At 51.1% G+C, this 25,185-nt stretch overlaps 1 protein-coding gene across 1 annotated transcript, besides 3 other annotated features; it reads left to right on the plus strand.

Moving 5' to 3' along the window:
- Positions 5,670-5,843: a silencer, noted in NCBI's record as "fragment chr1:18794765-18794938 (GRCh37/hg19 assembly coordinates)". NCBI's record gives its function as "represses an EF-1alpha promoter that drives an FKBP-Casp9 reporter gene in an ReSE screen in K562 erythroleukemia cells {active_cell/tissue: K562}" and the evidence as "EXISTENCE:reporter gene assay evidence [ECO:0000049][PMID:32094911]".
- Positions 17,407-18,279: an enhancer, noted in NCBI's record as "H3K27ac-H3K4me1 hESC enhancer chr1:18806502-18807374 (GRCh37/hg19 assembly coordinates)". NCBI's record gives its function as "activates a minimal SCP1, AML or CMV promoter by ChIP-STARR-seq in primed H9 embryonic stem cells {active_cell/tissue: H9 hESC(primed)}" and the evidence as "EXISTENCE:reporter gene assay evidence [ECO:0000049][PMID:30033119]".
- Positions 18,280-19,151: an enhancer, noted in NCBI's record as "H3K27ac-H3K4me1 hESC enhancer chr1:18807375-18808246 (GRCh37/hg19 assembly coordinates)". NCBI's record gives its function as "activates a minimal SCP1, AML or CMV promoter by ChIP-STARR-seq in naive and primed H9 embryonic stem cells {active_cell/tissue: H9 hESC(naive and primed)}" and the evidence as "EXISTENCE:reporter gene assay evidence [ECO:0000049][PMID:30033119]".
- KLHDC7A (kelch domain containing 7A) lies at positions 18,329-23,373 on the plus strand. Its single transcript, NM_152375.3, has one exon. The coding sequence runs from the start codon at positions 18,381-18,383 to the stop codon at positions 20,712-20,714; it is 2,334 nt and encodes a 777-aa protein (NP_689588.2). The 5' UTR covers positions 18,329-18,380; the 3' UTR covers positions 20,715-23,373.
- The last annotated feature ends 1,812 nt before the right edge of the window (positions 23,374-25,185 follow it).

Raw genomic sequence — 25,185 nt, forward strand, 5'->3', positions numbered from 1 at the left:
TATTCACAATAGCAAAGACTTAGAACCAACCCAGATGTCCATCAGTGATAGACTGGATAAAGAAAATGTGGCACATACACACCATGGAATACTATGCAGCCATAAAAAAGGATGAGTTCATGTCCTTTGCAGGGACATGGAGATGAAGCTGGAAACCATCATTCTCAGCAAACTATCACAAGAACAGAAAACCAAACACCGCATGTTCTCACTCGGAAATGGGAGCTGAACAATGAGAACACTTGGAAACAGGGCGGGGAACATCACACCCTGGGGCCTGTTGGGGGTGTGGGGCAGGGGGAGGCATAGCGTTAGGAGAAATACCTAATGTAAATGATGAGTTGATGGGTGCAGCAAACCAACATGGCACACGTATACTTAAGTAACAAACCTGCACGTTGTGCACATGTACCCTAGAACTTAAAGTATAATAATAATAATAATAATAATAATAATAATAAAGAAATATGAGCCTGGGACAAAGGGGTAGAGTAAACCAGGAGAAACAAAATGTGAGCAGCTTCTCCTGCACCTCCATTGACCCTCGGGCTCCATGGGAACACTTCCACTTTCCCGTGCCAGGCCCAGAAGCGGGCTCCTCCCCAGAGGAGGTGCCACTCGAGGGAACAGTGACAGAGTCTGGGGCCTCAGCCTGGCCCAAGTCCCTCCCCAATCACTTTTGCTCAACACCCCCGTGTGAGCTCCTGATTGCTACTGCTCCACGTTACTGTGGACTTACTGACTCAAAACAACACTCTCTTACAGTTAGTTCTGGAAATCGGACGTCTGACATGGCTGTCACTGGACTAAAATCAAAGTGCCAGTAGGGCAGGGTTCCATTCTAGAGGATCTTGGGGAGAACCCATTTTCTGCCACTTTTTCCAGTTTTTTGAGGCGGCCGGCGTCCCGGGGCTCCTGGCTCCATCCTCTGTCTTCAGAGCCAGCAATGGCCGGCTGAGTCCCTCTCACATCTCATTACCGAGACAGACTCTCCTGCCCCTCCTTCTGCTTTTAAGGACTCCTGTGATCACACTGAGCCCCGCAAAACAACTCAGGACAGCCCCCCTGTTTTAAGGTCAGCTAATCAGAAACCTGTTTCCCACCTGAAGCCTTCATTCCCCTTTTCTGTGTAGCTGGACACAGTGTAGGTTCCGGGCATTAAGACATGAACATCTTTGCAGGGTCGTTACTCTGCTACCACACCCCTCACCCCAGATCCAGTGACTATTCTAGGGACACCTCCTGTGTTCCAGGGACCTTCCCACACAGCCATCTCACTTCCTCCTCCCAACCACCCTGGCAGGTCAGGGATATTACACCAGACCATGTGTGATTTTCAGGGGCTCTGAGCACTTTTGCCTTGATTCATAAAAAGAAATTCTATTTTCCTACAGTGGTATAAACAAATATAATCTAGGCTGGATTATATTATTTTTTAGTTTCTGATTTTGAAAAGAAATTAAGACATTTCATTGGCCCCTAAAAGTGCCTCGGCCCCCAGTCGTGTGCCTGCTGTGGTCAATGTTGGCCCTGGGAAGAGGCAATGTGACTGGCCCAGGCCAGCAAGAGGCAGAGCTAGGGCCATTCCCAGGGGCCCTGCCACTAGGACAGAGCTTACTTCACCAGCCACCTGCTGATCTTCAGCAACAAAACAGCTCCTGGCAGAATCAGACTCAGCCATGGGGACACTGGAGGTCATTTGGCCCAAGGCCCTTATCTTACAGATGAGGATCTAAGTGCTCAGAGATGGCATACTGCGCTCTTAGGGACACACAGCAAGTCAATACTGTAGCCAGGACCAGGACCTGGTCTCCTGATTGTCCATCTAGCACTCTTCCCTGCCCTCAGCTCCTCCCCTCTGCTCTGCACACACACACGCACACACACACCGTTCTCCCTGTCATATGCGTGCAGTGTCAATATTAACTTTGGTAACAGTTGTGTTGACTGTTCTCTACATCTGAGCTATTTAGGATCTACTCAGTGCACTTATTTTACAGGGGAAACTGAGGCTGGAACAGCAATGGCCTAAGCCAAAGCTACTCAGCAGGTATGAGGAAAGTCAGGGCCCAGCCCAATTCTCCCGACTCCCGATCCTCTGCTGTTTCTGGCTCTGCCGCACCCTTGCCCACGCAGGTACAGCTGATCACAGATGTCAGCACCAGCCTCCCTTTTACTTCACCAGCCTACAGAGGCAGAAGACTGTGTGACTGGAAGGTTCTGGAAGAGCAGGTTCCACGTCCTCCTCGTCCAGACTTGGAACAGTGGCTGCCTCAGACTCAGATCTGGAGCAAGAAAAGCCAGTTCCAGGAGGCTGCTCTGGGGCTACTTGGGGTCACCTTCCGGCCTTTGACTTTAACTCTGCCATGGGGAGAGGCAGTGGCCGGGTGCCCAGGCTGGGTGAAGGGTTACTGGGTGGAGCCTGAGGTTCAGGCCTTGCACTGCAGAGGAGTGATGGCCCTCCCCTAGGTACTTCTGGTTTTTACTCTATGTCATTTAGCCCCTCTGAGCCTCATTTTTCCCACCTAGGAGTAATAATTATATCTACTTGTCCAGGCACGGTGGCTCACACCTGTAATCCCAACGCTTTGGGAGGCTAAAGCGGGAGGATCGCTTGAGGCCAGGAGTTCGAGATCAGCGTGGGCAACATAGTGAGACTTCATTTTTCCAAAAAAAAAAAAAGAAAAGAAAAGAAAAGAAAGAAAAAAGGAATAAAAAAAGCCAGACATGGTAGTGCACACCTGTGGTCCCAGCTACTCAGAGGATAAGGCAGGAGGATTGTTTGAGCCCAGGAGTTCGAGTCTGCTGTGAGCCATGATCACACCACCACTGCAGTATGGGCAATAGAGTGAGACCCTGTTTCTAAATAATAGTAGTAATAATAACAACACCTCTCAGGGTTGTTGTTGAGCATTAAATGAGGTGCTTAGCACAGTGCGTGGCACATAGTGAGGGCAAAATAAATGTTCGTGACAATTTTCATTGTTAGAATTAATAGTGATTAGTTGCAGGACACGAAGTAGCCAATGCTTGAACTGTCTCCAGAAGACCAAGAGGAATGGATGGCCTAGGAAAGGAATAGCACAGCCTCTTAGAGGAATGGTGTAGGAGCAGAAGCCAAGGCCAGAGGGGAAGCAGAGGATGGAACACTGACCAGAGAACCACTGCGTGGCCTCCAGCACCACAGAGAAGGACTTGATGGGGCCTCAAGGCGACAGAATCTTAGATCTCCACCCACCATCCTCTGCAGCTTCCCACTGGTGGAACATACATTCAGGATCTTGCATCACAGGAGAGAAACTTCCAATTCCCCACCCATTTTACAGATGGGGAAACTGAGACCCAGAGAACAGGACTCACTTATCCAAAAACACACAATGATTTCATGACAATGCCAGACCCCAGCCCTGCTTCCCCTGAGTTTTGAAGGAAATGATTGTTCACTTTGTTTTTGGAGATTTCAAGTCTTCAAATCACTCAGCTATCCTAAGAACAGTTTTTCTTTTCTTTTTGTTTTATTTCTAAGCCTTATCTGACATCTAACTCAACACAATCCACTTGACCCTGTAGCCCTGAGAACAGTTTTAAGAAAGAATATTGTTCTCCTCCCTGTGTCCATGTGTTCTCATGGGGGGAAGAGCATTAGGGAAAAGAGCTAATGCATGCTGGGCTTAATACCTAGGTGATGGGTTGACAGGTGCAGCAAACCACCATGGCACCTGTTTACCTATGCGGCAAACCCGCACATCCTGCACGTGTACCCCAGAACTTAACAAAATAATAATTTTTTTTTAATAAAGAATGGATTGCTCAGCTCAAAGACTGCAGCCAGCTCCACTCCGACAGCCCCTGCTCCAGCCACATCACTGACCTTCCAGCAAATGCAGCTGCTCATTCCTACCTCAGAGCCTTTGCTGGAGCTGCCCTCCCTCCCAGAAAGCCCATCCTCAGGAATCTCTCAGCAAAGCCACGTCCCCTCCCTCCAGATGTGGCCTCAGCACCTCCTCTGTCCCCTCCACCTTCCAGAGGTGGCCCTGATGGATCTTGGCCCTGATGACAACAGCTTGTAGCCTCTCGGAAATTAAACGAATGAAACTCTTTCTGTACTGCATTTATTTGCTCTTGTTGACAAGGCAATTTTTAAAGTGTCTCTCAGTCTATTCTCATTTATTCATTTATTTACTCAACAAATGTTTATTGGACCCCAAGTGGGAGCCAGACCGTGTCACACACACTGCTCGCCCTCATGCCTGTCACCTCCCTCCTCTGCGGAGGGCAGCCACTGAGAAGGGAATGATGTAGGAATCTCACTGCAGCTGCACTGGGTCCAGGAGCTCCGCCTTTGTCTCAGGGTGTCTTCCTAACCGACAACCTTGCAAGGTAAGAAAGGGTCTCTCCCATCATCACAGATGCTACCCAGAGATAAGGACTGGTTTCAGAACCATCTTGAATTCCCTACTGGGTGGCAGCAGGGCTCGGTGGACAGCATGTGGGCTCTGGAGTCAGACAGATCAGCTTCAAATCCCAGCTCTGCCATCTCCAAGCTGTGGAACTTGGACAAGGTCACTTCCCAATTGGGCCTCAGTTTCTCCTTTGTGAAATAACACTGGGGCCTCCCAACTCATCAGTTTACTTTCGGCTGGGGTAGCAGCCGAGGGGAGCCTGCAGCCTACAAGCACGTGGGGGAGTGAGGACAGTTTGCAGAGCGCAGGGTCCTGAAGCTGACTTTTCAGTCCTATTTATTTAGAGATAGAGCCTCGCTCTGTTGCCCAAGCTGGAGTGCAGTGGTATGATCTCAGCTCACTGCAACCTCTGCCTCCCAGGTTCAAGCAATCCTCCTGCCTCAGCCTCCTGAGTAGCTGGGATTACAGGTGCATACCACCATGCCTGGCTAATTTTCATATTTTTAGTAGAGATGGGGTTTCACCGTATTTGTTAGGCTGGTCTGGAACTCCTGACCTCAGGTAATCCACCCGCCTCGGCCTCCCAAAGTGCTGGGATTACAGACATGAGCCACCATGCCCAGCCTTCAGTCCCCTTTATGCTGACTGGGGGGTAAGTCACCCCTGTTGTCCCACCTTTGATGTGAGAAAGTTGGACCAGGGCTCTCCAAGGCCTCTCTCAGCTCTGAGAAGCTCTGATTACCGGAAAAGCAAGCCGGCTGCCCAGAAACAGTGGAGGCCCAGGCTCTGCCTTGAAACACTTGAGCTTCACCTCTTCTCTGGGCTCTCAGGCAGTGGCTGTGTTAGTCTATTTTGTGTTGCTGCAAAGGAATACCTGAGGCTGAGTAATTCGTAACAAAAGGAGGTTTATTTGGTTCACAGTTCTGCAGGGTGTACAAGCATGGCACCAGCATCTGCTCAGCTTCTGGTGAGGCCTCAGGAAGCTTCCAATCATGGCAGAAGGTGAAGTGGGTACAGGCATGTCACGTGGCGAGAGACAGAGCAAAAAGAGAGAGGTAGGAGTTGCCAGGCTCTTTTTACACAATCAGGTTCTAGTGAACGAATAGAAAAATAACTCACCCATTATCATGAGGACAACACCAAGCCATTCACGAGATATCCACTCCCGTGATTCAAACACCTCCCACTAGGCACCCCCAACAGTGGAGGTCACATTTCAACATGCGATTTGGAGGTGACAGGACATCCAAGCATATCAGCGATGGAAACGGAAACACAGCACCTCCGAAGACAGAGAATAAAATACGCAGCCTTCACCCATTGCCAATTAGACAGATGTGACTAAAACCATGTGACAAACAGCCCCACCTCCTTCCAGCATAGTGCCCAGAGCCAGAGTACAGAGCTGGGACACGATCTTGCATGATGGAACCTGGGAAATCAGAGCTTGGAATGCAGACCACAGAAAAGAATTGTGCTCCCGCAGTGTGGAGGGACAAAATAATGGGGTTACACCTGGGGGACATAGACAATGAATCACACCGCTTAAGCTCCTCTCTCTCCAAACGTTCACTCTGTCACTTCCTCCCGGTTCTTGGTGACTGCTGATGAGGGGAGCGACCAAGCTGGCATTATCTGGAATGTTCCAATCAAAGGAAGTCCTTCCCAGATTCTTATCTCCATCTTTCTTGTCTTAAATCCTACAATTCACTTGCTCTCCATGTGGAAATTTCTGGCCACTTTAACACCTCATTCCTTTTCTAGTGCTTAGAGCTCCGCCTACGTGTAGACCTGTGCATTGTGGTCTCCAGCCCCAGAGCCCTTGTACCCAGTGGACTCTGCTTCCACTGCCTTTTCCCCACCTTGTCTCCCAGCCAAGTCCCTCAACTCAGCTCTAAGAGCCTTTCCCCAAAGCCCTAGTTCTTTCCTCCCTGTTTCCACAAAGCCCTCCGTCATGGTTCATTATAATTTGCTCTGATGTATTCCCTCCGAGCTAGACTGTGGGTTTCTGGAAGGCTGGGAGTGGGCCTGATAAGGCAGATGGGAAGGTTCCATTGCAGATCTGAGGCTGAGCCTACCAATTGGGTGAGTTTTGGCCTCTTGGAACCTCAGGGTTCCCATCTGCAAAGTGGGAACGATCACTTCCACCCAATGGAATGTATATTAGTCCAGGAAATGGACACTAGCTTCTGCAACCAACAAACCCTGGAATCTCAATGGCTTAACCCAATACCAGTTTATTGTCACAATTGCTGGTGAACTGGGTGGCCCTGGTCCATCTGGGACATGTGGCCTCTAAGATCACCATGGCAGGGAGAGAGAGGAGGACGCAACACGCTCGTTCTTTACTTCCTGGATTCAGAAGCCACTGGTCACTTCTGCTTGCCCTTCCTAGGCCATAATTTAGCCAAATGCCACCCTTGCAACTTCAGGGGAGACTGGAGAATATAGCTTTACTGGGTGCCCAAGAAAAGGAAACTGAACCAGGGTTTAGTGAACACATAGCCTGTCTCCACCACAGATTTGTTATAAAGATGACATGCCAAGGAATGTGACGTTCCTAGCTGAGTGCCCCTCACATAGTAAATGCTCGACAAAGCTGCTAATTCTCCATTTGTTTCTTCATCCCCAGGCCCAGGCTCTAAGGAATCTGACTCCTAACAGAGGCCGTGTGAATGCTGGGTGCTGCCCTCCAGTCCCGGGTCCAGGCGTACCTGGCTGTCTCACCCTGTAGCCTCCCCTCCCTCCTCCAGCTCTCTCCAGCCCTGGCTGGGGCAGCTCTCACCACCTTTTGCACCTGGGAGGCTGTCTCTTTTCAGAGCATTGATTTGTAATCGGCCAGCGCAGCTCTAATGGGCCCGCAAGACCCCTGGCTGCACTGTGTTAGCTCCATTTAGAGGCTCAGGGCTGTGGAACACAAACAAACCTCCCCTGCCTCTCTGGAGCCAGCACCGGCTCTGGAGTCCCGGGAGAGGCAAGAGTCAGATCAGTTCTGAGGGCTGCCTGCCGGGGCTCCTTACCCAGCAATGCCCACCCTCACTCCCTCCCACAGCCTGTCTCTCCTGGCTTGGGCAGAGAACTGGGAGCTGCAGCCACACTCAGCTAGGCTCTCAGTCCATCTGGGTCCCCCCTCCCCACTGAGGGTAGACAGTAGAGGGTCTCTGCTTCTCTTCCTATTGGGGGTCTCTTGAAAAGAGCACAGGACACAGGGGCCTAAAGGACAGTGTGGTCCTCAATGCACCTTAAGTCATTCCATCATCACTACAGCTTATATCAAAGTAGGTCTTATTGGCCCCATTTTACTGATAAAGAAATTGAGGCTTGCAGATTGCAAAGCAATGTTTTCTAAACATATTTGGCCAGACAACCCACCCACTTTTTTTTTGCATGGAGTAAACCCAAAGCACCCACTTCAAAGCATGCCAATCATGGCGACCTATTTCTCACCCACAGCTGATCCAACACATGCTTCCCGGGAGCCCAGTGTGTGCCCTCCTTTAGCTCAGGGGTTCTGAACCGGGACTTCAAAGGCCTGGGACCTTCCAGCATTCGCATGTGAAACATTATCTGAATGTGCATCTTTTCAGCAAGGGTCCATAACGTCCAGTAGATCCTCAGAGGCTCCTAGGACCTGGCATAAGTGAAGAGCCCTTGCCTCGGCTTGAGTCCCTGTAGACAAGGCCCAGTTTTGATCTGGGGTTTTGCAAAAGCAACCTGAATGGCAGAGATTCAGGGAAGAGCTCCATGAGAGTGGGAGAAATGGCCCGTGTTACAGCAGTGACGAGAGGACAGTAAACCGATGAGCTTGGCTGGAGCAGAACAGGTGTTTTGTTTGGGAACAGTGACAAATGAGGCTGGCGCATCAAGGGGACCTCGGAGAATGGGCCAAGGCATTTAGATTTGATTGGAGAGACCACGGGGAGCCACTGGCCATTCTGGAGCCAGCAAGTGGCAGATCGGGAATCAGGTTTGCAAGAAAGGCCAGCAGGAGTGTAGAGGGGTAATGTGCTATGAGGACGGCGCTCCATGGGCAACTGGATCCAGGGAGATTCCTGCTGCTTTAGGGGTAAAAGCAGGGCTGGTGACTGTCAGGAGTATTGCAACGGAGGAGAGAGCAGTGATGCCATGGGGAGACAGCACGGCTGGGAGCAAGGTCCTTGGATCTGAAGGCTCGTGGTTTGAATCTCAGTTCAGCTGTTTCCTAACTGTGCAGCTTTGGGCAAGTAACTTATCCTGTCCTCTGTGCCTGGGTTTCTTCCTTATAAAACAAGGATAACTGTGCCTGCTTGGTGGTTGTGAACATTCACTTAAATGAGAGAAAATGCACCTGAAGAAGCCCTTAGCAAGCAGCAAGGCACAATCATCAGCACTTGACAACGGTGGGGTCTGTTATGACCCCTCAATCCATCCTGTAAACACTTACCAAATCCCTGCTAGGCACCAGGTGCCCTCCTGGACATCCTAGCATGTTTGCTGACTATAACTCAATGAGATGGATGGCATCATGCCTACTTGACAGATAAGGAAACTGAGGCACAGAGAAGTTTTTTTCATAATCAGTAGTGACGTCTGTTAGGGTTGATCCAGAAGCTCAAATGTTAAGAGGTCAGTGACAAAAGTGTGACCTCTCTCTGACCCAGGGTGAGAGAAAATGTGCTCTTGATGTTCAAGGTCATACAATTGATTGATTCTTGGGATTGTGGGTGAATGGGGTGCTGATCCAGGCACTGACAGCATCTCACAAACTGTAACATGCCCAAGAATCACCGGGGATGGGATGCATGTGAAAGTTCTGACCTTTTGAGGCTGGGGTGGGGCTCAAGACCCTGCATGCTAACCAGCTCCTAAGTGATGCTTCTTTTTTCTTTTTCTTTTTCTTTTTTTTTTTTTTTTGAGACAAAGTCTCTCTGTGTCACCCAGGCTGGAATGCAATGGCACAATCTCAGGTCACTGCAATCTCCACCTCCCGGGTTCAAGCGATTCTCCTGCCACAGCCTCCTGAGCAGCTGGGATTACAGGCATAGGCCACTGTGTCCAGCTAATTTTTGTATTAGTAGAGATGAGGTTTCAGTATGTTGGCCAGGCTGGTCTCAAACTCCTGACCTCAAGTGATCTGCCCACCTCGGCCTCCCAAAGTGCTGGGATTACAGGCGTGAGCCACCATGCCTGGCCAGTGATGCTTTTTTGAGTAGCAAGGATTTCCAAAGAATGGATTTGGGGTCCACAGACTTGACCTTGGACAAGAGACTGAGCCTCAATTTCCTCATCTGTAGAATGGGTACATCTTATCAATCTTGCAGGGCTGCTGTGAAGATTAAAGGAGATGATGTCTGCAGCCTTAACTCTTATTAGTAAATACTGGACAGCATTTACTATTAGTAAATATCAGTAAATAGTAATTAGTAAATTAGTAAATACTAACTAGTAAATAGTAATCAGTAAATAGTACATTAGTAATTAGTAAATAGTAATTAGTAAATAGTATTAGTAATTAGTAAATACTGGCCAGTATTTACTAATAGTAAATTAGCATTACTAATTACTAGTACTAATTTACTATTACTAAATAACAAGTTTATTATTAGTAAATACTGGCCGGTATTTATTAGTTACTAATACTATTAGTGAATACTAATATTGGGGTATTGCAAAGGAGGAGAGAGAAGAATAATACTAAAACAATTTAGTAATACTAATTTACTATTAGTAAATACTGGCCCGCATTTACTAATATCAGTAATTAGTAATGTATTATTATTCATATTTACTGTTACTATTACTATTGGCTCTGAGCCCTCTGTGAAAGTCTGTCTCTGTATGCAGGGAGACAGAAGGTCATTCCCACATATTCAAACCTCAGGATGCTCCTTTAGTTCTGCAACTCCTTCCACCCCAGGAGAAAAAAAATCAGGATGCATTCTGCCATCTCAAACAGCACCCACGAATCGTTTCACATTCAATTTCCCCATCAAATTCACAGGCACGAAGCTCATGCTATTATTCCATTTCCTAATGATCTGTGTGGTGGCAATTGTAAGTAGGACATTTCTTCATGCCCTTGGCACTCCCAAATCTTTGAAACTCCCTTTCTAGGCCAGACCCCCTTCCTGGCAGCTGTGGTATGCCTCTCCCCTTCCAAAATCCTGACACCACCTGCCCCTGGTTTCTGCTTATCCAGAACATAAAGGAGCAACAGTACCGTGTCTCTCTGGGGAACAACACTGGTTCTCCCTTGTGTTCCACGGAGGTGAACTTTGGCAGCAGGCAGCAGGGCAAGCTGAATAGAAGTAGGTTCCAAGGTGAAAGAGAAAACTGTGTGAGCACCCCCTGCATGCCATTTACAGGCTGCGAGACCTTGGGCGAGGAGGTCACCTTGCCTCCAGGAAGCCTCAGTGTCCTCATCTGTAAGATGGGGATGATAGCCACACAGGGTGGCAGAATCAAAGTGTCTGGTCAAGTGCTCTGCCCCTAATAACCGTGACAGCTATTTGTTGAGGTTGTGTGAATGGATGGTGTCATGAGATGCCCTGGAATGAGCTGCTATCTGGTCTCGGCAGGCGGCATTCCTCATGGACGGTCCACTGCTGTACCGGTTTGGCCTCACCTTTGCAGCCTCAGAATACCAACTGAGTTAACATCATCAGAGTAACTACTCCTGCACCAGCATCTCCCTAGACAGAACAAAACAGGGGCCTGGGGGAGGCAGAGGCGGAGAGCTATTCAGTACATTCACCACTATGTAATGCATAAGACTGACCTAACTGAATAAGGCGGGGTTTGGAGGACCCTTGCAATGCCAAGCATTGGCTTCTAGTTCATAAGTAGGGGGGAGGTCTGAAGGGGTCCTGGGGGAGTGCCAGCCAGGCTGCTGGGGTTGGGGCAGTGCCCTTTTACCAACCGGAATGGAAACTTCTCAGCATTTTAACAACCAGTATGGATGGTGAGCCACACATCAGCTGGGGCTGCAGCACTGGGATGTGAGGTTTAACGAGCCAACAAACCCCAAGACACATCCAGGAGAGTTTATCTAGAGAGGCCCCCTGTGTGAATGCAAAAGACTACACCTAATCCCAGCACTTTGGGAGGCCAAGACAGGTGGATCGCCTGAGGTCAGGAGTTCAAGACGAGCCTGGCCAACATGATGAAATCCCATCTTTACTAATAATACAAAAATTAGCTGAGTGTGGTGGCGCCTGCCTGTAATCCCAGCTACTCGGGAGGCTGAGGCAGGAGAATCGCCTGAACCCGGGAGGCAGAGGTTGCAGTGAGTCCCGATCACGCAACTGCACTCCAGCCTGGGCAACAGAGCAAGACTCTGTCTCACAAAAAAAAAAAAAAAAGACTACACCACATACTTACTGAGCACCTTTTGGATAAGTAGGAATTCATCTTCGACCTCCTCCTCCACCCCCCAGACCCAGCCAGGTGCCCTGTATTCTAGTCACAGCTAGACTGGACTCTCTCTGTCTCTCTCTGTCTCTCTTTCTGTCTCTCTCTGTCTCTCTCTCTGTCTCTCTCTCGGCCTCAGTCTCCCCATTGGTCAAAGCAGAATCCAGTTATCTCTGACCCTCCTGGACTCAAAAGGTGAGATGTGTGGGTGTGGATATGTACTTGTGCGTGTGTACATGTGCACATGGGTGCATGTGTGTGCATGTGTGTATATGTGTGTAAAAGGCCACACACCTCCCTCTCTGATGTCTCCACCCCTCAGAACCCACCTCTCCTCTCCCAGGTGCTCACACCCATGTCCTCTCAGCCTCTTACCCTCCACTCAAGGCCTTACCTGACACACCTACCTGGAGTCTGACCTCACCTTGGAAAACACAGCCCCTTAGAACAAGCTGACTGGCGAGGGGACTGGTACGATGGAACACAAAGCTAATCAGACAGAGATGGGCCTGTTTATTTGCATGGCACGCATTTGTCTCTGACTGTTTTATCCACCCCCTGAGCCAACTGAAGAGTTCTCAATTTATCCTGCCCGCACGGAGAGACCAGATTGGCGGCAGGCACGCACATTCACAGAAGCCCGATATAGACTTCCAATTATCTTTTAATTTCGCTCCTGTCTTTATTTGTTCATTTCACTTTTTCCAAACAGGGACTTTAAAAAAAAAAAAAGCTGTAATTTATGGAGTTTGAAGTCAACTAGCAGGAGCTAATTTATGGAGTTTGAAGCCAACTAGCAGGAGCGTCGTGTTCACCTGCCGGATGGAATGAGACCTCAGGGTAGAGACAAAAGCTCACTTCCCAGCTGCCCTGCAAGGAAGATGTCTGCCTGTCAGGGGCCACAAAGTCCCTGTTCTTGTCTGTTCTTCTGTCTGTCTGTATTAACTATATTTTCATCTCTTTTTTTTGAGACAAGGTCTTGCTGTGCTGCCCAGGCTAAAGTGCGATGGTGCAATCAAGGCTCACTGCAGCCTTGACCTCCTGGGCTCAAGCCATCCTCCCGCCTCAACCTCCCGAGTAGCTGGGACTACAGGCATATGCCACTGTGCTCGGCTAATTTTTTAATTTTTTTTTATAGAGATGGGGTCTCACTCTGTTGCACAAGCTGGTCTGGAACTCCTGGGCTCAAGCAATCCTCCCACCTCAGCTTCCCAAAGTACTCAGATTACAAGCGTGAGCCACCATGCCTGGCCTATTTTCCTATTTTCTATATCCTTGATGTTTTACATCTGGGGCCTCTCTGACCAGGAGAGACTGCCCCTCCCAGGGTGAGCTAGTTCCTAGAAATAGCAAGCGGCTTACCCGGGAGTGTATCTCTCACACGCAAACTAACCAATCCAGAGCCCATACCCCCCAACCACCTCCTTCATCAGATTCCCAAGGCCTCTCATACTCTGGGCCAGTATTCCCCGCCTCTAATCACCCCAGGCCCAGGTACCGGACAACTAAAGACAGCCAGCCCTGAGCCTGCTGAAAGTATTCCAACTCGCCAATCTGAATCCTGCTTACCCTGCCTCTCTCACTCCTTCCTGCAAAAACCATCATAAAGCGTCTCTCACCCACGCTTCTGCCTCACTCGCTCTGCCTCCTGGTTGACCCAGTGCTTCCCCACGTGGTCCTGCCTGGTGCAGTGTGCCCCCTTCTCTTGGGACCCGTGAGTAAAAAACCACCTTTCAATGGCAGTCGCCTCCTGATCTGTGGGCCTCGCCAGACCTGAATAATAATAATGAAACCTACATTTTCACACACTGTCAGGTGGCTGTGTTCACCGAGAACTGGAATGCAGGGCAGACAGCAGGAAGCCTCATTTAATGAAGACATCTTCTATGCTCAGCTGTTTCACAGGCATTACTTCTGCCCTCAGACAAGGGAAGGTCGCAGGAAGTGCCAAACCAGGGCTCAAATCGGGGGCATGTGGCCCCACCCCTTGCCCTGCACCCAGCCCCAAGCTCCAGTCTAGAGGTCTCCAGGCTTTGTTGTTCTCACGTTCTCCTGTGCTATTTCCGCCATTCCCAACACGTCAAATACCATCTCCACACCCTCTCGTCCTAGCCTGGTGCAGGGACTCCTGTTCTGAACTCCCATGGAAGCCCTCCCGAACCAGCATCTGCACCCCCCACCATCTCCCTGCCTGGTGTCTCCTAGACCACAGCCTCCATGGGCACAGGAGCCATGGCGGTCTCCTTAACCTATGTCATGACATCACAACACATGGCCTGGTAGGTGGTAAGCATCTTGTAAATATTTTTTGAATCAATCAATCAATCAGTCTATGCCTCTTCCTCTCTTTATCAATACCCAATTCCAAACACTTCTTTCTGGAATCCTTTTTCCTGACCTCTATTCTGATAAACCACCTCATTCATCTCTCCTTTGCGATGCATGGCAGCTTGATCATATCTCAGGCTTATGCCCCGTCTTCTGGACCAGGGACAAAATAAGTTCCCCTGGGACTTGGACTGTCTTCTGCTCCCAGTGATCCTTGCACCTCCCCACACCCCAAGGCTGGTTCGGGCACATCCAGTGCCCAGGAGCTTTTCAAATGGAAATGCTGATTGTTTGAATTGAAGGGTTTAAGCTGGAGCCACAGAGAGAGGGCTCTGGGACACGATGGAGCCTTTATCAGGTGGGAAGCAGCATTCAGAGGGGCTGAGACCCTTCTAACTTGGTGGCATCTGAGAGGACAATGTGAGGTCACATCTCACCAAGGGGGCATTTCATATGTCTCCCCTTCTCCAAGGGTAAAGACATATGACATATGAACATATGACAGCCACCAGTGGGACAGGCTGAGGACACCTACTTCCTAAGAGGTCACACCTGCTGGATGAAGTCAGGTCTGTAAAACTCTGGACTCTGCAAACAAGGTTTTGGGTCCCCATTTACAAGCCAGTTGACATAATCTTGGAGGTCCAGTTACCCCTGCTGTCAAATGGGGATAACAAACATGTCTCTCCCCAAAGGGGCTGTGAGCATGAGATGGGATGAGATGAGCTTCATACCCCTACCAGTGGAATGGTAGCCTGGCCCCTCATCAGCCTCAACAAAGCATTTTTCACCCCTGGAAAAATCATTTTTATTGCCCCAAACACCTCATTCTCTAGTTTCTAGATGAAGACAATGGGCTGTGCAGCAAGAAACATTATAAATCAGGATTTGTCACTCTCAGTCCATTGGCATTGTCTCTCTTAGCCTCGATGTCCTGATCTGTAAAATGGGGACAATGATAATAACCACCTCTCCAGATTACTGGGAAAATTAAATAATTTTACTTATACAAAGCACCCAGGACTTCATTCCCATTCTGTTACTCACCTTGAGTATGTAACCAAGAGGAATTGATTATGTAACTTGAGAGGAACTGCTCACCCACCATCCAAGAATGAACAGGAATTTTCAGCAGACAAGTAGAAAAGCTAACTTATTTTTAATTCCTAGGCTCACTAAAAACTCCTGAGATGATTGTTAAAAATGGAGGTTTCCTGGGACCCACCCAGCCCACTGAATCAGGACATCTAAAAGGTAGAGCTTAGAAATTTGCATCCCTGGCTTGGCGTGGTGGCTCACATCTGTAATCCCAGCACTTTGGGACGCCAAGGCGGGTGGATCACCCGAGGTCAGGAGTTCGAAACCAGCCTGACTAATATAGTGAAACCCCATCACTGCTGAAAATACAAAAATTAGCCAGGCGTGGTGGTGTGCACCTATAGTCCCAGCTACTCAGGAGGCTGAGACAGGAGAATTGCTTGAACCTGGGAAGCGGAGGTTGCAGCGAGCCAAGATCATGCCACTGCACTCTAGCCTGGGTGACAGAGTGAGACTTCATCTCAAAAAAAAAAAAAAAACCCAGCCTGGTCAACATGGTGAAACCCCGTCTCTACTAAAAATACAAAAATTAGCTGGGCGTGGTGGTGCATGCCTGTAATCCCACCTACTCGGGAGGCTAAGGCAGGAGAATCGTTTGAACCCTGGAGACAGAGGTTGCAGTGAGCTGAGATTGTGCCATTGCACTCCAGCCTGGGTGACACTCTGTCTCAAAAAAGAAAGAGAAAAAGAAAGAAAGGGAGAAAGGGAGAGAGAGAGAGAGAGTTAAGAAGGAGGGAAGGAAGGAAGGGAGGGAGGGAGGGAAGGGAAGGGAGGGAGGGAGGGAGGAAAGAAGGGAGGGAGGAAAGAAGGGAGGGAGGGAGGAAGGAAGGAAGGAAGGAAGGAAGGAAGGAAGGCAGGCAGGCAGGCAGGCAGGCAGGCAGGCAGGCAGGCAGGCAGGCAGGCAAGCTGCATCTCTAACAAGCACCCCTTGTGATCCTTGTGCACATTGCATTGATAGGCACTCTTTTGACCAGGATGGAAAGAAAGAGAATTCAGGGGACCCCTCTTGACAGCTACCAGTGGGACAGGCTGAGGACACCTGACTTTCTAAGAGGTCACACCTGCTGGATGAAGTCAGGTCTGTAAAACTCTGGACTCTGCAAACAAGGTTTTGAGTCCCCATTTACAAGCCAGTTGACATAATCTTGGAGGTCCAGTTACCGCTGCTGTCAAATGGGGATAACAATCGTGTCTCTCCCCAAAGGGGCTGTGAGCATGAGACGAGATGAGATGAGCTTCATCCCGAGTGTTCACCCCAATCCACTCAGTGTAAAGACAATCCCTGCTGGCTATTGTCCCAAATGGTGCAGGGCCCCACATAGGCTTAGGGTCCACAGCTGAGCCAGCTACAGCCTCTGTCCTCAAGGACTTAGAATGCAGCAGACCAGATCTTGCACACAATGCACTTTACGATGCAGCAGCTGTGGCCAAGCCTAAAAGAGGAGCATCAGAGAACACGAGACCCAAAGGAAGAAAAGGTGATCTTGGACGGATGAAGGCACCAGGGAAGAAGGCCCAGACACAGCCTTTTACCCAACTCTGATGGGCCAGAGGGATGTCCACCAGCCTTCCCTGCCAAGAAGTCACCCTGAGCCCGGTTTGCTAGGCAGTGATCAGGAGATGCATCTGGAAGAGTAAACCGAAGCTGGTACACAGAGAGTTGTGAACGTCGGCATAGGGAGTCAGGATTGTCTCCTAGAGTCAAAGCCTTCAGAGCCAAATTCCTCCCATGCGTGTGCTTCCTGTGGCCCACAGTGTTTTTCAGTTTCATTTTTGAATCAGATGCCAACATTTTAAAATTGAGAGTGATTATGTCACTACTGGGATTCTAAGCTTTTTGCGACAGTGGGAGGATGAGGCAATGCTGGGCCTGATACCATCGGCTGGGGTGGGGCGGACAGACGTCCTTACTTGTTCACTTTACCTACCCAGCCTCCATATGCAGCAAGAGTTTGAGACCCCTGCACAGGACTTTGGGGACTCTTTGAGGACCTTGGTCAGGAGAAGGGTAGAATTAGTTCTGTGCTTTGGAAGGTCCTCTGATGACAATTGATACTAGCGATGATGGTGCCGATGATCAGAAAGAGGAAAAGGAGGAAGAAGCAGAGAATAGTTCATATTTACTAAGCTTTCATGATGGGGGCTCTGCCCCAGTGTTTATTCCTAGTAGCCCATTTAGTTCTCCCCACAAGCTGATGAGGTGCGTATGCTGTCATCCTCCTTTTTCAGACAAAGCACAGAGCGGTGAGGTCTCTTGCCTAAGGTCATATAGTTGGTAAGTAGCAGAGCCAGGTAGTCTGGGTCCAGGACCCACAGCACTGGTGATGGGGGAGGGGAAATGGTGAGGGGGGGTCTGGGAGACGTGAGTCTTCCCTCAATCTTTCACCGTAGGAGATTGTCTGGTTTTAAAAGAGAAGATGTGTCCACATCTAACCCCGATCTGAGCACTAATGCAATGTCTTTCTCCACTGTTCTCAGAAAGGCTGGTTTTTCTTAATAAACTTGTCAGGCAGGGAAGGAGGGCAGAGGCACTCAAGGGCCGGCTCAGGTGGCTTGGCTGCATGCCCTGGCTCCAGACTCCACTGCCATGTTCCCGTTCCCTGCTTGGCCAGCATAAAGTTGACCCCACTGTGAGGACCAGCAGACCTCACAAGAATGACCCCATCCACGCCTACTGGGGCTCCACCTGCCCATGACTCACCACACCCAAGCCTCTGAGCCCAGTGGACTTGCAAAAGAGAAAATAAAGCACACACATAAAGAATAACCAACCCCATGCATTTCCTGGCATCGGGTGACTGTTTGGTTAAGAGCTTCCTCCTCTTTTGTATGCCCACTGGATACTCCTAACATCCCCTAGCTGCTGACCACAGAGCTGGCTTAGGTGGCTGATCACAAGCTCAGCCCCTGGGCGGGCCCCCCACCCCAGCCACCAGGGAAGCATGGAAGGAGGCCAGCCGCTGGGATCTGCCAGCTCTGGGCCCCAGCGGCCACCCTCTGCAGCTCAAAGTCACCTTTGCTCCTCTCCTCTCCTCGGCTGGCCAGCCAGAACCAGCCCAGAACTCCCTCCCCTCCGCTCAGCAGGACCCAGGAACTGGTCCCTACTGGGCAATTATTAATCAGATTCTTGACATTCCTCAGCCCCAGGTTGGCTGGAGAAGCATGTTCCCCAGAGGAGCAGAGGCCCAGGACTGGCATTTGGATATGCAGCTGACCGGCAAGGTGGTGCTGTCAGCCGCTGCCCTGCTCCTGGTGACTGTGGCCTACAGGCTGTACAAGTCGAGGCCTGCCCCAGCCCAGCGGTGGGGTGGGAATGGCCAGGCAGAAGCCAAGGAGGAAGCAGAGGGCTCAGGGCAGCCTGCTGTACAGGAGGCTTCTCCTGGGGTGCTCCTGAGGGGGCCAAGACGTCGGAGGAGCAGCAAGCGGGCTGAAGCACCACAGGGCTGCAGCTGTGAGAATCCAAGAGGCCCCTATGTCCTGGTCACGGGGGCCACTTCCACAGACAGGAAGCCCCAGAGAAAAGGCTCAGGTGAGGAGCGGGGCGGGCAGGGCTCGGACTCTGAGCAGGTGCCTCCTTGCTGCCCCAGCCAGGAAACCAGAACAGCTGTTGGCAGTAACCCTGACCCTCCCCATTTCCCCCGCTTGGGCAGCGAACCGAAGAGCTCCCCAGCTGGACTCATTGCAGCAGCCGACGGCAGCTGTGCCGGTGGTGAGCCTTCTCCATGGCAGGACAGTAAACCCCGTGAGCATCCAGGACTGGGGCAACTAGAACCTCCCCACTGTCACTACGTGGCTCCCTTGCAAGGCAGCAGTGACATGAACCAGAGCTGGGTCTTCACCCGTGTGATAGGGGTCAGCAGAGAAGAGGCTGGGGCTCTCGAGGCTGCCTCCGATGTTGACCTGACCCTGCATCAGCAGGAGGGCGCCCCCAACTCCTCCTATACCTTCTCATCCATAGCCCGCGTCCGAATGGAGGAGCATTTCATACAGAAGGCGGAGGGGGTTGAGCCCCGGCTCAAGGGCAAGGTGTACGACTACTATGTGGAATCTACCTCTCAGGCCATCTTCCAGGGCAGGCTGGCTCCCAGGACAGCAGCCCTGACTGAGGTTCCATCCCCTAGGCCACCGCCAGGGTCCCTGGGAACAGGGGCTGCCTCGGGAGGCCAAGCCGGTGACACAAAGGGTGCAGCCGAAAGAGCCGCCTCCCCGCAGACAGGGCCGTGGCCCTCCACCCGAGGCTTCAGCCGGAAGGAGAGCCTTCTGCAGATAGCGGAGAACCCAGAGCTGCAGCTGCAGCCAGATGGCTTCCGGCTCCCCGCTCCACCCTGCCCAGACCCGGGCGCCCTGCCTGGCTTAGGCAGAAGCAGCCGGGAGCCCCATGTGCAGCCGGTGGCCGGGACCAATTTCTTCCATATCCCGCTCACCCCTGCTTCAGCCCCACAGGTCCGCCTGGATCTGGGCAATTGCTATGAGGTGCTGACCTTGGCCAAGAGGCAGAACCTGGAGGCCCTGAAAGAGGCGGCCTACAAGGTGATGAGCGAAAACTACCTGCAGGTGCTGCGCAGCCCGGACATCTACGGGTGCCTGAGCGGGGCAGAGCGCGAGCTGATCCTGCAGCGCCGGCTCCGGGGCCGCCAGTACCTGGTGGTGGCTGACGTGTGCCCCAAGGAAGACTCCGGCGGCCTCTGTTGCTATGACGATGAGCAGGATGTCTGGCGCCCGCTGGCTCGCATGCCCCCCGAGGCCGTGTCCCGGGGCTGTGCCATCTGCAGTCTCTTCAATTATCTCTTCGTGGTGTCCGGCTGCCAGGGGCCCGGGCACCAGCCCTCCAGCCGCGTCTTCTGCTACAACCCGCTCACGGGGATCTGGAGCGAGGTGTGCCCGCTGAACCAGGCCCGGCCGCACTGCCGGCTGGTGGCCCTGGACGGGCACCTGTATGCCATCGGCGGAGAGTGTCTGAACTCGGTGGAGCGTTACGACCCCCGCCTGGACCGCTGGGACTTTGCCCCGCCGCTCCCCAGTGACACGTTCGCCCTGGCGCACACGGCCACGGTGCGTGCCAAGGAAATCTTCGTCACCGGCGGCTCGCTGCGCTTCCTGCTGTTCCGCTTCTCTGCGCAGGAGCAGCGCTGGTGGGCCGGCCCCACCGGGGGCAGCAAGGACCGCACGGCCGAGATGGTGGCGGTCAACGGCTTTCTCTACCGCTTTGACCTCAACCGCAGCCTGGGCATCGCCGTGTACCGCTGCAGCGCCAGCACCCGGCTCTGGTACGAGTGCGCCACGTACCGGACGCCTTACCCGGATGCCTTCCAGTGCGCCGTGGTGGACAACCTCATCTACTGCGTGGGACGCCGGAGCACCCTCTGCTTCCTAGCAGACTCTGTCTCACCCAGGTTTGTGCCCAAGGAGCTGCGGAGTTTCCCGGCCCCGCAGGGCACCCTCCTGCCCACCGTCCTGACCTTGCCCACCCCCGATTTGCCTCAGACCAGGGTCTAGCAGTCCCTCAACTGAGCTCCTCATGCAAAGCTGGGGGCCACCGGGCTCCACTGCCAGCCGTCCCTCTGGGGGCCATTTCTAGGCAAACAGGCAACCCAGGAATGTGGCCATCAAGAGGTGAATTCCGGTCCTTTCTCCTCCCCTAGCTGGGGAGAGAGGGATCTTAGATGAGTCTTACCCTTCATGGGCTGCAGAGGCCCCACTGCAGAAAAGAGGACCAGGAGCTGGTGTTCCAAGGCAGAAGGCATTCATGTCTTCAGGGATGACCGCCCTTGCTTCAACTCTGAATTCTTGGGGGGATACACCGGGACCCCACCAAAGCTTAGGGGGCATAGTCTTTTTGCAATCACAATTCTAGGAGCCAGTTGACCCCAGCAGCCCCTCGCTAGTTGCTCTGGAGAGGGGTTGGCTCTCTGAGCCATCAGTGCCCCTTCCTAAACATCAGCCACTGGGCCCCACCTCCACAGTTCCCAGAAGCACCGGGACACACAGGTGGGAAAGATGGAGGCAGGTGACTTGGGCAGGGCCAGGAAGGAGCCGAGGGAGCCCCAGGGGCCCTGGCCAGAGGGAGTGGTGGTTTGAAAAGTAGAACAGCTGAAGCTGGGGCCAGCCTAGGAGACTCTTGCTTGCGAGAAAATATACCAAAGCCCACATTACTTTTCTCCTTATTGGAAGAAAGAGAAGCAGCCATTGTACCAAGCTATCTTCTGGTGGAGGTCTGCTAAGGATACACGGAGGTCTCAGCAAAGGGAAGAAACTATGTGATCCAAGGGCCACCCTGCTCCTCGGCCCTGCCCATGTTAACTGACCATTGCACTCATTCTCAGATCTGTAGCCGTCTTCCTGTCTGGAAGCTGGGGCAACCACCACCAGTCAGCACTTCAGGGTGACAGCATAATTTGCCCTCCTTGTGCCAGGTACGGTCACCTGGTTTGCCGCATTCACATTTTCAGGTGGATGACCAAGCGGAGGAACTAGAAGAGTCTAGTGAAGCATCCAGAGACTGGATCTCCTTTCACATCTGGTTTGATAAACTCCGAATGAAGGAGACCCCCAGCCTCAGGAAAGCACCTGTCCTTCCAGGAGGGACGGGAGAGAGCCTGACCCAGTGTATTACCACAGCCCTTGTTCCACCTCTGAGGGAGACAGTGACAGATGGGAAGGCAGTGATGCTCTTGGTCCCAGCCAGAAGCCAGGGGAGATGGGAGGTACACCAGAGCAGGGCCTGACAAGGAAGAAAATAAGGATGCTTTGGACCTCAGTGTCCTTGTCTTGAAAATGGGAAGGACAATTCATGTCCCTGTCTGCCCTGGGGATAAATGAGAGGATAAAAGAGAAAGTTCTTCCCAGTTTCCCAGGTGGTCCCAGCTAGATCCTGTGTCCACGGAAGCTGCTGGTGCCCAGGCTGTGGGTCTTGTTGGAAGAAGCAGGACTGGAACAAAGGATGAAAAGGAGGTTGGCATGGACATAAGAGGAGAGCTTGCACTGGACCACCGAAGACCACCATCCCTGGTCTGGGCTCTGGCACCAGGCTCTGCCAGTGGCAGCTCAGAGGCCACAGGGTGACATTGGCCACACCCCCACCCCACTTCCCTGGCCTGGGCCTCGAAAGATGAAGCAACTGAATTTATTCTTAAATCAGAGACCAGGAAGGGAAAGTCAGCTGGGGCCATGGCTACCTTCTTGGGAGAGTGACCCCTGAACCCAGCCAAGGCCACATTCAAGCTCAGTGTCAACACTAGGCATGAACCTCCAAGGGACCTGTGGGCTGGGGCAGAATGGCTTCAGTGACAAGACTCAAAGGAGGCACTAGCATTGTGCTGCTGGACTGGGGGAAGGACTTGCTTGGGAGGAGAACTCTACATAGGAGCTGGGGGCAGGTGGACCTAGATCCAACCTTCAACCCCTAGTGAGGGGCCAGGCAGAGGACAAGGCAACAACTAAGCTAGGTAAAGTTCTGGAAAGTTTCCAAGCCCAGGAGGAACAAGGACCACTCTGGAAAAACATTCCAAAGCCCATTGCATACCTGTGGTAGAGACTAGGGGAGTGATTCCAGGGATAAGACGGACAAATGTGTTCCAGGCCCCAGCTGATGGTGGGTGTGGTCTTCATAATGAGAGGTGGAGCTGAGATTTGGGCCTGGGCTGGGAAGAGGAGTACACAGTCCATCTGATCCACCTCTCTTATGGTTCCATTGGCAAAATCATTCATCAGTCGTCCTATCTTTTCCTGGCGAGCGCTCACAATGGCTTCATAAGTGTTTCAATACAGTGTCCCAGGCAGTCACTACCTATAGATTAGAGCTGATGTGCTGGCCTGGGGCTCTAGAGCTGGGCTTCAGGAAGAATGTGGTCAGGGCCATCAGGGTGGAACAAGGTAGCTCAAGACCTTGGAAAGACACCCTGAGGGCACAATCGTCCTTGCAGTTTAAGATGACACTTTAAAAATAAATTCTTTCCTAATGATGGCTTGAGTCCTGCCACTCAATGGGAGCATCAGCGGAACCCGTAGCATCTTATTTGGAATTGACATTCTCTATTGTAATTTTGTTCCTGTTTATTTTTAAGTTTTCTTTTTGTTTCACTGGAAAGGAAAGATGATGCTCTGTTTTAAACATTAAAAGTATACAAGTTGCTTTGTTACAATAAAACTAAATATGTACACACACCAAAAAAAAAAAAAAATGATCAGGATGCATTCATTCACTCCTGAAATAAACATTTACAGAATATTTGGACTGGGCAGTGTTCTAGGTGCTGGAGATGCAGCAGATCCCTGCCTTAATGGAGCTCACATTCTAGCAAAGGAAAATGGACACTTTTAAAAGGAAATACATAGAACCTAGTACCTAGGCTGCATATACACTAAGGAGAAAGCTGAGGCAGGGACATGGGATCCTGAGTGCCGGAGGAAAGGGGTTGCTCTTTTAAATCATGTGATCAGGCCTCCCTGATAGGATGACATTTGAACAGGGACCTGAATGGAAATCTGGGAGATGCACAGACCAGGACTGGTCCAGGGAACCGGAAGGGTGGCCTTGCAGCCAGAAGGACTTTGCTCCCTGTGCCCACCAGGGAGAGCCGGGCTGCTTCCGAGGAGCGCCATCTTGGGGTAGGAAGAAGGACAGGGGCCCAGCTATTCTGTTTAGCCTTTGTTGTAAGGGAAAAAAACTCAATTACACCTACATTTACAACATATAGGAGTGAGAGCCAGTGTCGTTACCAGAATGTTGCAGACCCTATACTCAGGTGTGCAGCTGAGACGACTTCATGGGGCCAGAGTCTCAGATTTCTACTTGACTTTACTTAATAGCCTGGGGTCTGTTGGCCTCCTGCCCTTAGCCTCAGAGTGACATCTGTGTCACTTGGCTTCTTGCTTTTCCAATAGGAATTCTTTCTTCTTCAGAAAAACAAAAAAAAATTAAATTTGGGTCGCTTTCCACTTTAAACCAACCATGCCCATTATAGAAAAAAAATAGAGAAAGGTATTAAAAATCTCCCCAATTTTGCCACTCAACGACACCCCCTACTGTGGTGTGTGTCCCTCTGGTCTTTTTCTTCTGTGCAAAGTTTTTGTTTGGCTTGATGTTTGCTTAGGTACGATTATGCTAAATATACAATTCCGTTTCTTCCTTTTTTCACTTAGCATTTTATAATAAGCATTTTCCCGTGTTATTACAAATCCTAGGTAAACATCATTTCAATAGTTGCACAATATTCCATGGAGTGAATGTATCAAGGTTTATTTAAACATCTCCCCTCCTGTTGGGCCTGCCTGTAGATTTTTGTTTTCTGTTGGGTTCTCTTTCTATCACAAATAAAACGTCCTTTGTTTTCTTATTCCTCCCTATCTGGGGCCTTCATCAATATTTACAAGAGAATGCCAGTCTAGGTCCCGTCTGCAATGGTAGAGTTGTTGAAACAACCACAGAAGCCATAGCATTTGCCTAGGGCTGGGGCCTGGCCCCTCTGTGACTGTAGGACAGAGCTGTCCTTGGAAGCCTACGGCGAGAGAGGCAAGGCTGGCTGGAGGGGCCATCCAGGGGCACCACATTCACTGGGCCCCTGCTCTCCTCTGCGTGCTTTTATATGCATCTCCTCACTGATCCTCACAACAACCCTATTTTACGGGTGAGAAAGCTGAGGCTCAGAGAATTTAATGAAATTTGCCTTCATGGCAAAATCCAAAGACCTTTTCTGTTTTCATTAAAAGTGCTTGAATCCAAGGCCAGCCAGAGTGGCTTATGCCTGTAATCTGAACACTTTGGGAGGCCCAGGTGGGAGCATCTCTTGAGGTCAGGAGTTCAAGACCAGCCTGACCAATATGGTGAAACCCCGTCTCTACTAAAAATACAAAAATTAGTTGGGCATGTTGGTGCACGCCTGTAATCCCAGCTACTCAGGAGGCTAAGGCAAGAGAATCGCTTGAACCCAGGATGCAGAGGTTGTAGTGAGCCAAGGTTGAGCCACTG

Source organism: Homo sapiens, chromosome 1 (genome assembly GCF_000001405.40).
Source record: "Homo sapiens chromosome 1, GRCh38.p14 Primary Assembly".
NCBI lineage: Eukaryota > Metazoa > Chordata > Mammalia > Primates > Hominidae > Homo > Homo sapiens.